The sequence below is a fragment of the Homo sapiens genome, chromosome 6, assembly GCF_000001405.40.
Source record: "Homo sapiens chromosome 6, GRCh38.p14 Primary Assembly".
Taxonomy (NCBI): Eukaryota; Metazoa; Chordata; class Mammalia; order Primates; family Hominidae; genus Homo; species Homo sapiens.
Window position 1 is genome coordinate 96,086,064 of NC_000006.12, and position 13,996 is coordinate 96,100,059.

The 13,996-nt window shown below is 34.6% G+C and overlaps 1 protein-coding gene across 4 annotated transcripts in view; it reads left to right on the top strand.

The window, feature by feature from the left end:
• FUT9 (fucosyltransferase 9) overlaps positions 1–13,996 on the top strand; it is a 199,639-nt gene that overhangs the window by 70,090 nt on the left and 115,553 nt on the right. The window lies entirely within an intron of this gene.

Below are 13,996 nucleotides of genomic sequence, written 5' to 3' on the forward strand. Positions count from 1 at the left end.
ATTATGCCATGACAACATCATGAACCAGAGCCTGGGTAAACCAAGGCATAGAGTACTCTGAATCACAGGCTGCACATATTCACGTTAACACTAACCAGACTTTTCTCCAGACCGCATAAATGTACCTGTCTACACACTTTATTGCCAACACTTTGTGTTTTCAGATTTCCAATTTTGAAATTTGACATGTGCAGTGTTCCTTCCGTTTGCATTTATATCCACATATTTGCTAGCTATGCAGTCTACCTTTCTTTTAATTTCTGATTCAAAGCTTTGGTTTATTTTTCCTGCTTATCAATTTGTTGTCAGCTTTACACCTAGCAGTTATTTTCCTTCAGTTTGTCCCCTATTCATTAACTTTGTCTTTTACCAGAAATTCTTAATTTTGATATAGTGAATCAACTCATTTCTCATCTTTAAATTATACTATATGTAATGCTTAAGAAATACTTCCCCATCTTAAAGTCACAAAGATATTCTCCTGTATTTTCCTTCTTAAAGTCACAAAGATATTCTCCTATATTTTCTTCCATTAGCTGTATGATTTTCCCTTTCATAATCAGGAATATACTGGACTTTAATTTTGTAATCAATATGAAATAGGAACCCAAGTTTATTTTTTTCTTCATATCAAAAATCTGGCTTTGACCACAGAGTTCTTGCCTTTGTGTGTAATCCTTAATCTTAACTAAGAACTCATTATCTACCATGCACCTTTGCATTTTCTCAGTTAGTTAATATTTTCCACTGCTTGGCCTCTCTTTTTTGTCCTCACACTAAAGGAAGATACTGTCTGAACTAAGGTATTAAAAGGCACAGGATGATATCAGGACCCTGCTGTCACAGAGAATAGGTTTCCTGCAATTCAGGAGTGTGCAGCCTGCCAATTTTCGGTTAGCACCTGTGCCTCCTATATAGTCAGTGGAACACATGCCATCTCAACACATGGGGATCAGCAAGGAGACAAACGTTACGCATATGGGTGAAGACCAGTTCTTAGCTTTTGTTCTTCCTGTTGTACTTGTTTTTAAAAATCTAGACCTGGTTTTTAGATAAAGAAAATGACATTCTTACAGAGCCAAAAAGGAAATTCAAGAGTTGCCTTATTTTGGATTATTGGAATATTTTTGTTATCTCTTTTATCTCTATTATTGGCTTATTACCTAAAGTTATTTGTTGGTGTTGCTTTCAGATTTGTGGTGTATATTTTTAACTTATCATAGTCTACCTCCAAGTAACATAGCACTCTACATATGTCATGCAAACACTGCAACAGTAGGTTTATATTTTCCCCACAAATTTTTTTTTTTTTTTTTTTTTTTGAGACAGACTCTCACTCTGTTACCAGGCTGGAGTGCAGTGGCATGATCTCAGCTCACTGCAACCTCTGCCTCCTGGGTTCAAGCAATTATCCTGCCTCAGCCTCCTGAGTAGCTAGGACTACAGGCGCGTGCCACAATGCCCAGCTAATTTTTGTAGTTTTAGTAGAGACGGGGTTTCACCATGTTGGTCAGGATGGTCTCGATCTCTTGACCTCATGATCCGCCCACCTCGGCCTCCCAAAGTGCTGGAATTACATGCGTGAGCCACCACGTCCGGCCTTCCCCACAAATCTTTGTGCTATTATCATACATTTTACCTCTAAATATGTTACGTAGAAGTTGTAAACCCCATAATATAGTTTTTAGTTTTGCTCTAAACAGTAAATGTTCTGATATAGAGAAAACACTTTTTCTGCTTTTAACCACATGTTTACCATTTCCAGTGCTTATCACTCTTTGGCATAGATCCATGTTTCCACAAGGATCATTTCTTCTGAAGGGCTTCCTTTAACATATCTGGTAATAGAGGCCTGCTAATGTTTATTAGCTCTTGTATGTGTCTGAGAAAGTCTTTATTTTTCAAAGACATTTTCACTGGCTATGCAATTCTGTTTTTCAGTACTTTAATGATGTTTCCCTGCTGTCGTTTGGCTTCCATTGTTTCTGATGAGAAATATGCTGTCATTCTTATCTTTATTTCCTATATTACATAATATGTCTTCTTCTTTGGCTGCTTTGAGAAATATCTAATGTAAATGACAAGTTGATGGATGCAGCAAACCAACAAGGCACATGTATAGCTATGTAACAAACCTCCACGTTGTGCACATGTACCCTAGAACTTAAAGTATAATAAAACATAAAAAATATAAATATAAAATAAAAAAATAAAATGTTCTTATTTCATTTTTAAAGCAATTTTATTATGATATGCTGTGGTATAGTTTCCTAATGCTTCTTGTGCTTGGAGTTTACTGAACTTCTTGGTTCTTTAAATTTATAGCTTTCATCAAATTTGAACAATTTTAAACTTTTGTTTATTTAAACACTTTTGTCTTCTTTCTCCCAATTTTTAGGACTCCTATTATTACCTGTATGTGGTTTGACATTTCCCCATAGCTGTATGATTCTCTGTTTGTTTGTTTTGTGTGTGTGTGTGTGTGTGTGTGTGTGTGTGTGTGTGCGTGCGCGCGCGTGCTCCATATTGGATAGTTTCTATTGTATTATCATCAGTTTCACTAGTCTGTCTCTGCAGGGTCTAATATGTGGTTAATTTCATTTATTGTATTTCTTAATTTCATAAATTATAGTTTTATATTTAGAATTGAAAATGAGTCTTTCAAAAATACTCTTCATGTCCCAGACCTTTTGCTACCTTCTTGTAGTCTATATCTAAGTATTGCTTAACTGCTTATTTTTCCAATTCCTTGCATGACTGGCTATTTTTTAAATGAATGTCATATATTGTGAATTTTACCTTGATGGATCCTGGTTATTTTTGTGTATCTCTAAAATTTTTTAGCTTTGTTATTGGGCACAGCTAAGTTACTTATAAACAGCTTTGACCATTTCCTTTTGAGGACTGTTTTTGGTTTTATTAGGTAAAATCAGAGCAGCCTTAATTCAAGGATTAATTTTGATCCCATTACTCTTCTACATACTCTTCTTGATGTTCCATGAATTATGAGAATTGTTTACTCTCTTTGATCGGAATACAAACTATAACTATTCCTGGCCATATGTGAGATCTGAAGGGTTGCTCCTTTTCTTCATTTTGGTAGTTTTGTTTCATCATGGTTAGTTTTCATACACACATTTGCTGATTAATACTCAGCTAAATAGCCAAGGAGATTCTTCTGCATATATCTAGAGACTTACTGTGGAACTATCTGGATACTTTCCCCTGAGAATTCTACCCTGCTAGCCTCCTTGAGTTCCTAACATTTGTCTTCTCAACTCTGGCAGGCAATCAGGCTCCACCTGGTGTCCCTTTCCCTGAGCTGCAGCCTAAAATCTCCAACCTGTCAGGAATCTGGGGAAGTTATAGGGCTTGTTTGCATCTCCTTTCTCAAAGAACGTGTGCTGCCAGACAACCAACCTTTAAAATTGTTGTTTGATGTATTTGCTTTCCTACTTCTTCTTGTTATTGTCACAGCTAGAAGGTAGATCTGATCCATATTCCTGCATTGTGACCAAAAAGTACAACAATAATCTGAGTTACTAACAGTATACATCGATCTCACCCCAGAGTAAGATGGGGAGCTGAACTAAGCTTTCAGCATATTGACAGGAGGCATGAACGCCTTTCTATCCAATAACTTGTATTGAAATACTGCCCTACCAACACAAAGAAGTAACCAGGCTATGAGTGGAGAAAAAAGGAATCATAACAGCGCTTTTAAGCTATAAAAGTGTGGCCTCTAAATCCACAATACCCATATGGCATTGCATTATTAGTGCAAGGTAAGTACAGTTTAAGGTAGAAATAATTTTTATGTATAATGACGAATATTTGGTAATCACAGAAAGAACAATGCACTAGGACAATAAATCAAACATAAGCCTGTATAATTCTGAAAAGAACCTGAAAACATGGTTGTATTATAGGAAGACTTGACAAAAATACAAAGATATGAGGAGATTTTAACACACTTCTATAAAATTATGAAAAACCCCCCAAATTAATAAGTTTGAACAATACAAGTACCAATGGACATATAGAGTGCTTACGGCCCATAAGAAAGAGTTAACATTATTTTCAAGCATGTGTATATGAAAGATACATACAATTTTTTGGGGGATGAACCAAAAAGATAGTATCAATAAATTTCAAAAATTAGCATCTTGTATATACTTTTTCTGAACACAGTCAATAAAAAAGTACTTTTGGAAATAAATTTGTAAAGTCAATTGTTTATGAATTAAGGAAGAAATCACAGTAGAGATTTAAAATATTTTTTGTGAGATATTAATTTTTGAAAAAAATTCTTGATGTAGTTAAAACAATACTTATAGACTACAATTTATATATTTTAAAAGTAGATGAAAGTGTTCAATTTTATAAGCAACAGGAAATAATTATATCAACTCATAATTATATCAACTCAAATTTTACTATTTATATAGTAAAATAAAACTGAAATTTAAAAACTAAAATAAAACATATATTTGACATGATCATCAAGACAAAAACTGATGCTAAGTAAAAGATACACATCTCTGGTAAGATTGAGCAGAAAGGAAAAGGAAAAGCAAAATAAACAATATTAAGAATGAAAAAGCGATGCAACTATAGTCATAACAGATCAACTTTAAATCACAGAGACAGTATGAAATAGACAATTATTAAAAAAAAGTTACTACAATAATAGTCATACACACCCCAACAGACACACTCATTGGTCATATTTGTATGTAATTTAAACACCTAAAGTAAAAAGATGTTAATTTATTATAAGATATTGAATTAAAATAAATGCAGGAGTCCATAGGATTACACAAACAAAGGGAAAGTATGAGAGAAAGGGAAGCATTTAAAATTTGAATGCCGCTAACAAAAGTAGAAGAAATTTGTAATATCTAATGCAATAGTAATTGATTCAGGCAAGAATCATCAATAAATGTTAAAGCCATTGAGAATATATTCTGGTGGGGAGGAGGCTATTTACCCCATCTCAAATATCACCCTGCAGATTACTTTTTAATTGCAATGGGAAATATGTACACTGACATCTTATAGATCACTTTCTTAAGCAAGTGATGTAACTTCACCAACTGAAGGAGAGCCTGACATTATTTGACTCTCATGCAAATAAAAAACCAAATAGTTCAAAGCGTTATTTACGTATTCTTCCCATAAATGTTTAACCTAAATTTAACCATGAGAAGGTTAAATACTGAATTTGAAATATTTTACAAAATAAATTAGAATATTATTTTCTAAAAATTCAATTTTTCAGAAACCAAAGGAAGGAAGAACTCATAAATTCATTGGGACCCTTCTGTATTAAAGAAGACTAATGAGTCAATAACAACGCATGAATCTTCATTATCATATCTTGGATCATAAAAGAAATCAGTTTTATCTTAGACACAAGTGAAAATATTGCATATGAGCCCCATATTATGTGATATGCAATTATCATTGCCTTTATGGGTATGACAATGGTATTGCAGTCAGGTAGAGGAATGCCCTTTTTCTAAGAACATTTTGAAATATATAGCTGAGAAATGTCATAATACTTGCAATGTATTTTCAGATAGTTAAGGAGAGAAACGGACTGAGTGAGAAAGAGAGAGAGTGAGAGCACAAATCTGTGGCAAAATGTTAACAATTGAAACTAGTTGAAGGGTTTGTAGGTGATCTTTGCAATACTGCTGCAATCTCCTCATCAATTTGGAAATTTTCCATTTAAAAAGTTGGTAAGGAGGGGCTTTGCCAAGTCCAGATGGTATTACAAGCAAGTTTTATTGAATCTTTAAGGATTTTGAGCGAGAAAATATTTTCAGAAATAAAGTTTCCATACTAATTTTATAATGTGAGCATAATCTTGAAACTCTATTAGATCAGGACAGTTTGAGAAATTCAAATTTTAGTATACTACTATCAACATAGATACAAAAATGATATTTGATAAAATATTGTCAAATTACAACCAATAGTGCAATTAAAAATAGTATACTATGACAAAGTAGGGTGTATCCCAAATGGACAATAATACTTTAACAGTAAAAAATTGATTGATCTATTTATCAGATTAATAGATTAGAGAAAAACCTTGTAATCAACGAAAATTTCCAGAATATTTTGACAATATCGATCTAAACAGCAGGTAAAATGAATGAATTAGAGCTGTATAAATCTTTATGGGAATATCCCTGAAACATAATACTGAGTGCACCAGTCAATTGGAGAATGATACTTATCCTATGATACACTTGTGTGAAATTCAAAAATAAAGAAAAATCTATATTATGTATTCTGATAGATATATTCACAACAAGTATATTAAAAAAGAATGTTGAGAGTATATTCCCTAAATAAAATATTATAATGGCTTCCTATAACTCCTAAGATTAATATCAGATTCTTTACTACAGACTCTAGGAATCTGCATCATCTGATTTTTGCTGACATTTCTAGAATGGTCAAATATTATACTTCTTCTAGCTGTCTGCTCCAGCTTCACCTGACTTCTTCATTCATACACTTGAATGTGTCTTGTCACAACTCACAATCGAGACTTTGCATATGTCATTTCCTCTTTCTGGAGTATTTTAGCTCTATTCTTCCTCTTAAATAACTTATCTTTCAGCTCTCATCCCATATTCAGGAGATGCGAGGTCAAATTCCGTCATTTTTCTTTATAACATTTCATACCATTCTTTCCCTTTTCTTTTTTTGGAAACAGGGTCTTGCTCTGTCTCCCAGACTGGAATGCAGTGGCACAATCACAGCTCAACCTCCTGGGCTAAAACAATCCTCCCACCTCAACCTCCTGAGTAGTTAGGACTTCAGGTGCATGCCACCATGCCTGGCTAATTAAAAAATTTTAAAAAAATCATAGAGACAGAGTCTTGCTATGTTTCCCAGGCTGGTCTCAAAGTCCTGGGCTCAAGCAATCCTCCTGCCTTGGCCTCCTAAAGTATTGAAATTACAGGCATGAGCCACCTTACCCAGCCTCTATTCCTTCCTTTGAGAGCACTATTTCAGTTGTTATTTCTCATTGACTTATGAGGTTTTGTGATTAGTATCTATCCTCCCATTAGGCTTGTTCTCCCCACATAAAATCAGATATGGCATCTATTTTGCTAAGCATCATACCCCTAGTACCTTGCACAGTTCTTGACACATTAAAGGTGCCTACCAAATATTTACTAAATTGGTGAATGAATTGGCAAAGTCGTTTCTTTCATAGGATTCTCTTATTTTGATCATGATCCTGTTGAAATAGCTTTCTCTTGATAATTCCACACTTTCATTTATCTTTTCCCTGTGACTAATGCAGTTTGATGTGGTTTGGGCATCTCTACCTGAGTGACAGGATATAGATACTATGATTGACAGTATCCTCTAGAAGTATGGGCATTGAAGCATTTAAGACCAGAGGAAAGGGATATGCTAATCTTGGCAATATATATCAACATATGTTAAGAAATTACATTGAAGAGTTAATAAATTAAATTGTATTAAGAAGTAGAATATTTAACAGAAAATATCCCTGCAACAAAAATTAGAATTTAAATATGTATTTCTCCATGCCCATATTATTTATGAGCAAATAATCATCACTTTTCCAGGCATAAAAATGGCCTCAAAGTTATTGCATGAATATGGATCCACATACACACACAAAATGAACTTTTAAAATATTACCAAGAACCTTACACACACCATCTTCATCTGTGTAATAGTCCTTCAGAGGAAGGTATACATTACTGTTACAATGTTTACAAATGAATAAATTAAGGGACAGAGGAGTTGAAAAACTTTCCCCAGGTTATACAGCAGCAGAGTCAAAAATAAAATCCACATCTGTATGACTACTGAACCCTAATTTGGTGCATTGCGAGCCAAGGATATGAAAGTTTTGCTGAAATTAATGAGGCTGGAATGTATATGTCATGTTTTAATCTAAGTCAGTGTTTCTTCAAATTTGATGCTGCTCTGTGAAAGATTCCAAAATCAAACAAGTTTTGGATACGCTGCATGTCATATTCAATAGTCCTCCCTTATTTGTGGTTTCAGTTACCTGTGGTCCTCAGTGATCTGAAAAGATTACATGAAAAATTCCAGAAATAAACAACTCACAGGTTTTAAATTGTGTGCTGTTCTGAGTAGCATGATGAAATCTCATGCCATCCCTTTGTCTAGTGTATTCATGCTGTGTTGGTCATTTTGTAGCTAGCTGGCTTGGTTATCAGACCTTGTCACAGTATCTCAGTGCTTATGTTCAAGTAACCTTTCTTTTACTTAATAATGGCCCCAAAGCACAAGGATGCTGGCTATTTGGATATGGCAAAGAGAACACATAAAGCACTTTCTTTAATGAAAAAGTGAAAGTTCTGTACTAAATAAGGAAATTTAAAAAATCGTATGCTGAGGTTGCAACCTATGATGAGAATGACTCTGCTATCCATGAAATTGTGAAGAAGGAAAAAGTAATTCATGCAGAGCATATATTGGGTTGGTACTATCAGTGGTTTCAGGAATCCATTGGGGTCTTGGAATGTATCTCTCATGGATAAGTAGAAACTACTGTACTCAAAAAGTTCTGACAATGTTTTTTAATAAAGAAATAGCTTTTTTATTGCTTAACCCAGCACTTCTAAAAACATACCTGAATAGGGAAGCTATTCTTGGAAACTTCCAGGCTAGAGGGAACTACAAAGTTTTTTTCTTCATTTTTTTTTCTAATGCAAACCTGTGTCCTAGGAAGACAAGTTTTTGTTGTTGTCATTGTTGTTGTTATTTCAATAGGTTTTTGGGGAACAGGTGGTGTTTGGTTACATGAATAAATTCTTTAGCGGTGATTTCTGAGATTTTGGTGCACCCATCTCCTGAGCAGTGTACACGGTACCCAAAGTGTAGCACAATTTTGATAGCACTCCATGTCCTTTCTCACCTCATGCTTCTGCTCAGGCTCTTCTTTTGGCCTGGAACACCTACGTCCTCTTCGTGATATGTGGTAAATTCTTATTTACACACTAGTTTAAATGTCACATCATCTGTGAAGCCATCTATTAACCCTTCAATCACATGCCCATATATACAGAATAAGCACTAATGAGCTATAATTTCATAAAATAATGTGAATGATCCCTCACCTTTAAAGAGCATCTCCTATGTTTAAACCCAGCTCTAAACATTGCAAATCTCATTTCTTAATACTTACAATAATTACTTATTATTATCTAATTTCCCTCCAGTTCACATATCAGTTCTCAGATTCTCTTTCCAGGAAACTCCTCTATGGAGATGATTACATTGCCTGATTGACTCCTTTCCTCAACTTTCGCTTGAATACATTCAACTAGGCTTGCCCCACCATTCACCATAGCTTTTCCTGTCTAACATACCAACAGCTGCTACATTAATGAATTCAGACAAAGTATCAGTCCTCATTTATTTAAATTATCAGCAGCATTTGACAAAGTTAGTCCCTTTTTAGAAGTTCAAACCCATTCTTCACTTTTCTTTCAGGATGCTGTCATTTCTGGTTTGCTTTGTACATCACTGGCAATTTTTTTTATGGTTTACTTTGCCGGTTCTTCTCATCTTTACAATTTCTATATGTTGTCCTGCCCCAGCCTTTGGCCAGTAATTCCATTGGTGATTTCATCAAATTTCATGTTGGGCATTATGGCTAAGAGGACAGACCTTTGCACCAGGCTGTCTGGCTTTGAATTACAGCTCAACTAGTTTGTTAGATGTGTAACCATGGGCTAGCGATCTATCTCTACCTTTCTATGTCTACCTCTCTTTTACCTCATCGGTAAAAATAGGGATTATAGCAGTACCTCAGTCATAGAACTGTTGTCATATTACATGATGTGATGTTTGTAAAGAGCATAATGTCCAGCAATATATGTTTTTGCTGATATTACCTATAATCTAATGACTCATAAAACCTATCTAGCTGGGATTTCTGCTACAAACTTGTGAATCATATATCCAACTACCTATACAATGTCTCTACTTGGAAGTCTAATATATATCTCAAATTTATTATATATAGAATGGAAAGTCTTATCATCACTCTTAAACCAGGCAAGCTTAGTAAATGGCAACTACATCCAGTTGCAGATGCAAAAAGACTCGGATGCTTCCTTGATTCCTTTCTCTCAGACCATCAATCCATCTGTCAAATCTAGATTGTTCTGAATTGAAGTTTTCCAGAATCTTGCTACTTCTCACCTCAATCATTCTAATCCAACCCCCCAGGATCCCTCATCTCAATAATTGTACTAGTTTACTGCCTTTCTGTGGACTATATTCAACATAGCAGAGTGGTTATTTTAAAATATAAGTCAGCTCATATCTCTCCTCTGCTTCTAGGCTTCTGTGACTTTTTACCTCACTGATTAAAATCTGGAGTTCTTACACAGGTTTATAAGAATTTACCTAATCTGTCCCATCACTCCCTTAATCTATCTAATCTTGTCTACAAGTTTCACTTCTTTAAGTCCACTCTCACTGCTCTGGTCCCCTCACAGGTCCTGTGGGAATCTAGACATGGTTTTCTCTCAGCCTCCTTGTGCTTGCCATTCCTCTGTCTAGTGTGTTAGTGTCTAAGGCATGTGTGTGTGTGTGTGTGTGTGTCTTATTCTTTCAGATCTTTACTTAAAATTCACCTTCCCAAGGCCTTTGCCTACTCTATTGAAAATTGCAACTCCACTCTACCCCAGCCCCTTTTTCTCCTTACTTTTTTCACTGGAGCTCAAAATGATCTAGCACAATATGGTTTTTATTCGTTTCTTGTTTTTTCAACTCTTCCTTCCAGAACATAAGCTCAATGAGGGGAGGAATTTTTATTTCATCTGTTCACTGAATATCTCTGGTGTTAGAGCACCCAGCACATATTAGGCACTTAAGCAACAGTCATAGAATGAATTCCTTCCCATAAGGGATAAAGAAAGTGAAGCTCACAGAGACAAATCATTTTCCACGACTATCCAAAATTTACCCAAGGGATCCAAAGTCAAAGCACAGAATTAGAAGACACAGGTCAGCATCTAGGCTACACATACTGAAGGAATATGTAATTCATAGAAGATAATAATAGAATAGCCAAATGCATACTCTTCTTCTCACTAGAAGGGATTTCCCTGAGAAAAGGAGCAGTTTTAGTCGTCTTTATAACCCTGGCACCTAATATAGTGTGGGAATCACAGCAGCAGCGGTGTGCTGGAGCCAGCTCCCCAAGCTCAGAAGAGTGGGTTGTGTGCTCTCTTCCAATCCTGCTTTTTGCGACATATGTAGGTAGCTTGGAATTGGCCTTACTGAGAATATTTACACCATGGAAATTAGCAAACAAGTCAGGGTTTATTAAATATGTACCTGAAAAGCACTGCAAAGAAGATAGTTAAAAATATATATATTGTTGTATGAGTGAATGAATTCATGAGTAAAATGTATGAGGTAGATATTATAGTCTGAGGCATCTTTTAGCATACAGATGCTGTAGATAAGGTGAAAACGTAAAAACTGTTGATCGATAACTTTCAATGAACATTACAAAAACAAACAATAACAAATAAAATCTTTGATATAGGACATAGTTCAATTTCTTACTCCATGAGCTCTATTTAGATAGAGCTCTCTGTCTTCCCTATGGGATAATAAAAAATACGGCTCAAATTTCCTCCTAAGTATAGTAACCCACATAATGTATATTCACTTTGTATTTTATCATTATGTGTCTGTGAATATACATAATTTTTCCACTAGACAAGTCCTTCTTAAATATTTTTAAATCATCATTTATTTTAAGAAAGTCACCTTCATATAAAAAGGCAAAGATACAAAAAAATATGCATACAATTTCCAGAGGAGCACAGACCTTCAAAATACCGTGCCACCCTTGCTCCCACCCCAACCAACAGGCTCCAGGTTAAGAACTCTGCACTTGAAGTAGAGGATTCTAGGGTCAGGCTATTTGTCTAAGTTATTGCCTATTCCCAGCATGTGTCTGACATACTGACACTTAAAAAAAGAAAACAAAGAAAAAAAAATAAGACTTGCAGATTGAATAAATGGATGGAATGAATAGTTATTTTAGTTGCTTCTTAGATCTTCTCTTTCCCTAAACACCTCCAATTTTGTCAACTACTTTTTATAAAGCATGATTTTCAGAACCTATAACTTCTGGATCTCCCTCCTCTGACACTCAATGTTCTTGATTTTGGAGAAAGTCAAACTACTGCCACATTCCCCCAAACTCAAATACAGAGTTATTGTTGTAGTTTAAGATTCAAGTAATGTTCCAGGCAACATTTCTTTAATCACTCACGATCCACAGTGATCTTTCATTTAGCTAAAACTCTAGATTCTTTTCACCTAAAAGACTATAGCTAGCTCCTTCTATCATTCTATTGCCCTAGTGGACTTTTAAATTTAACTCCATATTTTTACCATTAAATTCCATTGTCAGTTTCAGCCACTGTTCTAGCCTGTGAAGCTCTTTGGAAATTACATAACATAGTTGTCCCAGTTAGAGTCATTCCCAAATGTATTCAATATGTCTTATGTGTCATCAAATAGTTCATTAAAAATTACTTTAAGAATAATAGAAGCCAGGGACCTCCTGCAGTTTTACAGTGAGCCATTAATCAATACTGTTTGGTAGGAAAGATCTATCACCTACAGATTCAACAAACTGCTTAACTATTCAACCCACATTTATTCATCCTATCCACAAGGAAATCTTAGGAAATTTCAAATGTGCTGTTGAAATCCAGGGGATTTAGATGAGGCATGGTACTGTCTGTTACTGTAACTTTTCCCTGAGATACTGTTGTATACACCTCCTTTGTGCTCTCATAAAATTTTGTGCATGTCTCTGTCATAGTCTTTACCAAAATGTACCCTAATTTTCTTTTGCATCTGTCTTCTCAAGTACTGTGAAGTCCTTGAAGAATTAATCTGTGCATCCTTTATCTCTGTATTATCAGAACCTTATGTGTAATAGTTAATAAATATTTGTCAAACAGATGAGTAAATAATAGGAGTCTCATATTTTACCTTAGGATGTGAAAATCTGTATAAAGTTCACAATTTTCTCTGGACTTATTCTAGGAAGCAAATCACTAAAGATGATTCACAACAATTTGGGAGAACAGAGGAGCCATTTCATTTCTTTGTGCCTCACTTACAACATTCTTACTATTTTAACTTTATGCACATATGGAATGTGTGACTTGATTTTATAACAGAAAGACATTTTTATCCTTCTTAAGCTAAAACTGTACATGCTATTCTGATTATTTCTGTTTTCCTCCTTTTATGCTAAAACTGTACATGCTATTATGATTATTTCTGTTTTCCTCCTTTATATGTAACCTTTTGTATTTCTTTTTAAAAGGTCAGAAACAGTATCTCATTAACACTTCAGAAAAATAGTTGCCAATGTTTCCATTCATAGACCTCATACTTGGAGTGTCTCCTTTAAAATTATATGAAAATGATAAAATGCCACAAAATCACAGTGTTCCTGAATATTTATGCAATCTTCTATATAAAATTTACTTCAGACTTTCTGCTGCTTGCCTGATAGTAATAAATTTATTAGTGTATTTAGAATATAAAATGTCATCATTTTATGCCTGCCTTTTGATGGCCAGACACTCATCAATTTTTTTCCAAAGCCAGATTTCTATAAGGAGACACTCATCGATAAAATATCCAGTGTTCCTGCACAGAGGTTGAGTAATTAGTTTCTACCACAGACTGAAAAACTCAATGTATGGAGAACAAAATAACCTTGTACATTATGTGCAATCTTTATTAATTGAACTTTAAGCTAGCTCTTGAGATTTTTATGCAGTCTGCAACAAAAAGGTCAATGGAATGGCAATGAATCCTCTTGTATTTATTAGTTCATTTTGCAAATGCTAACATTGGGTGAGAATTGATTCGATTTGTTTGTGATCCAGTACCAAAGGGGTATTATTCA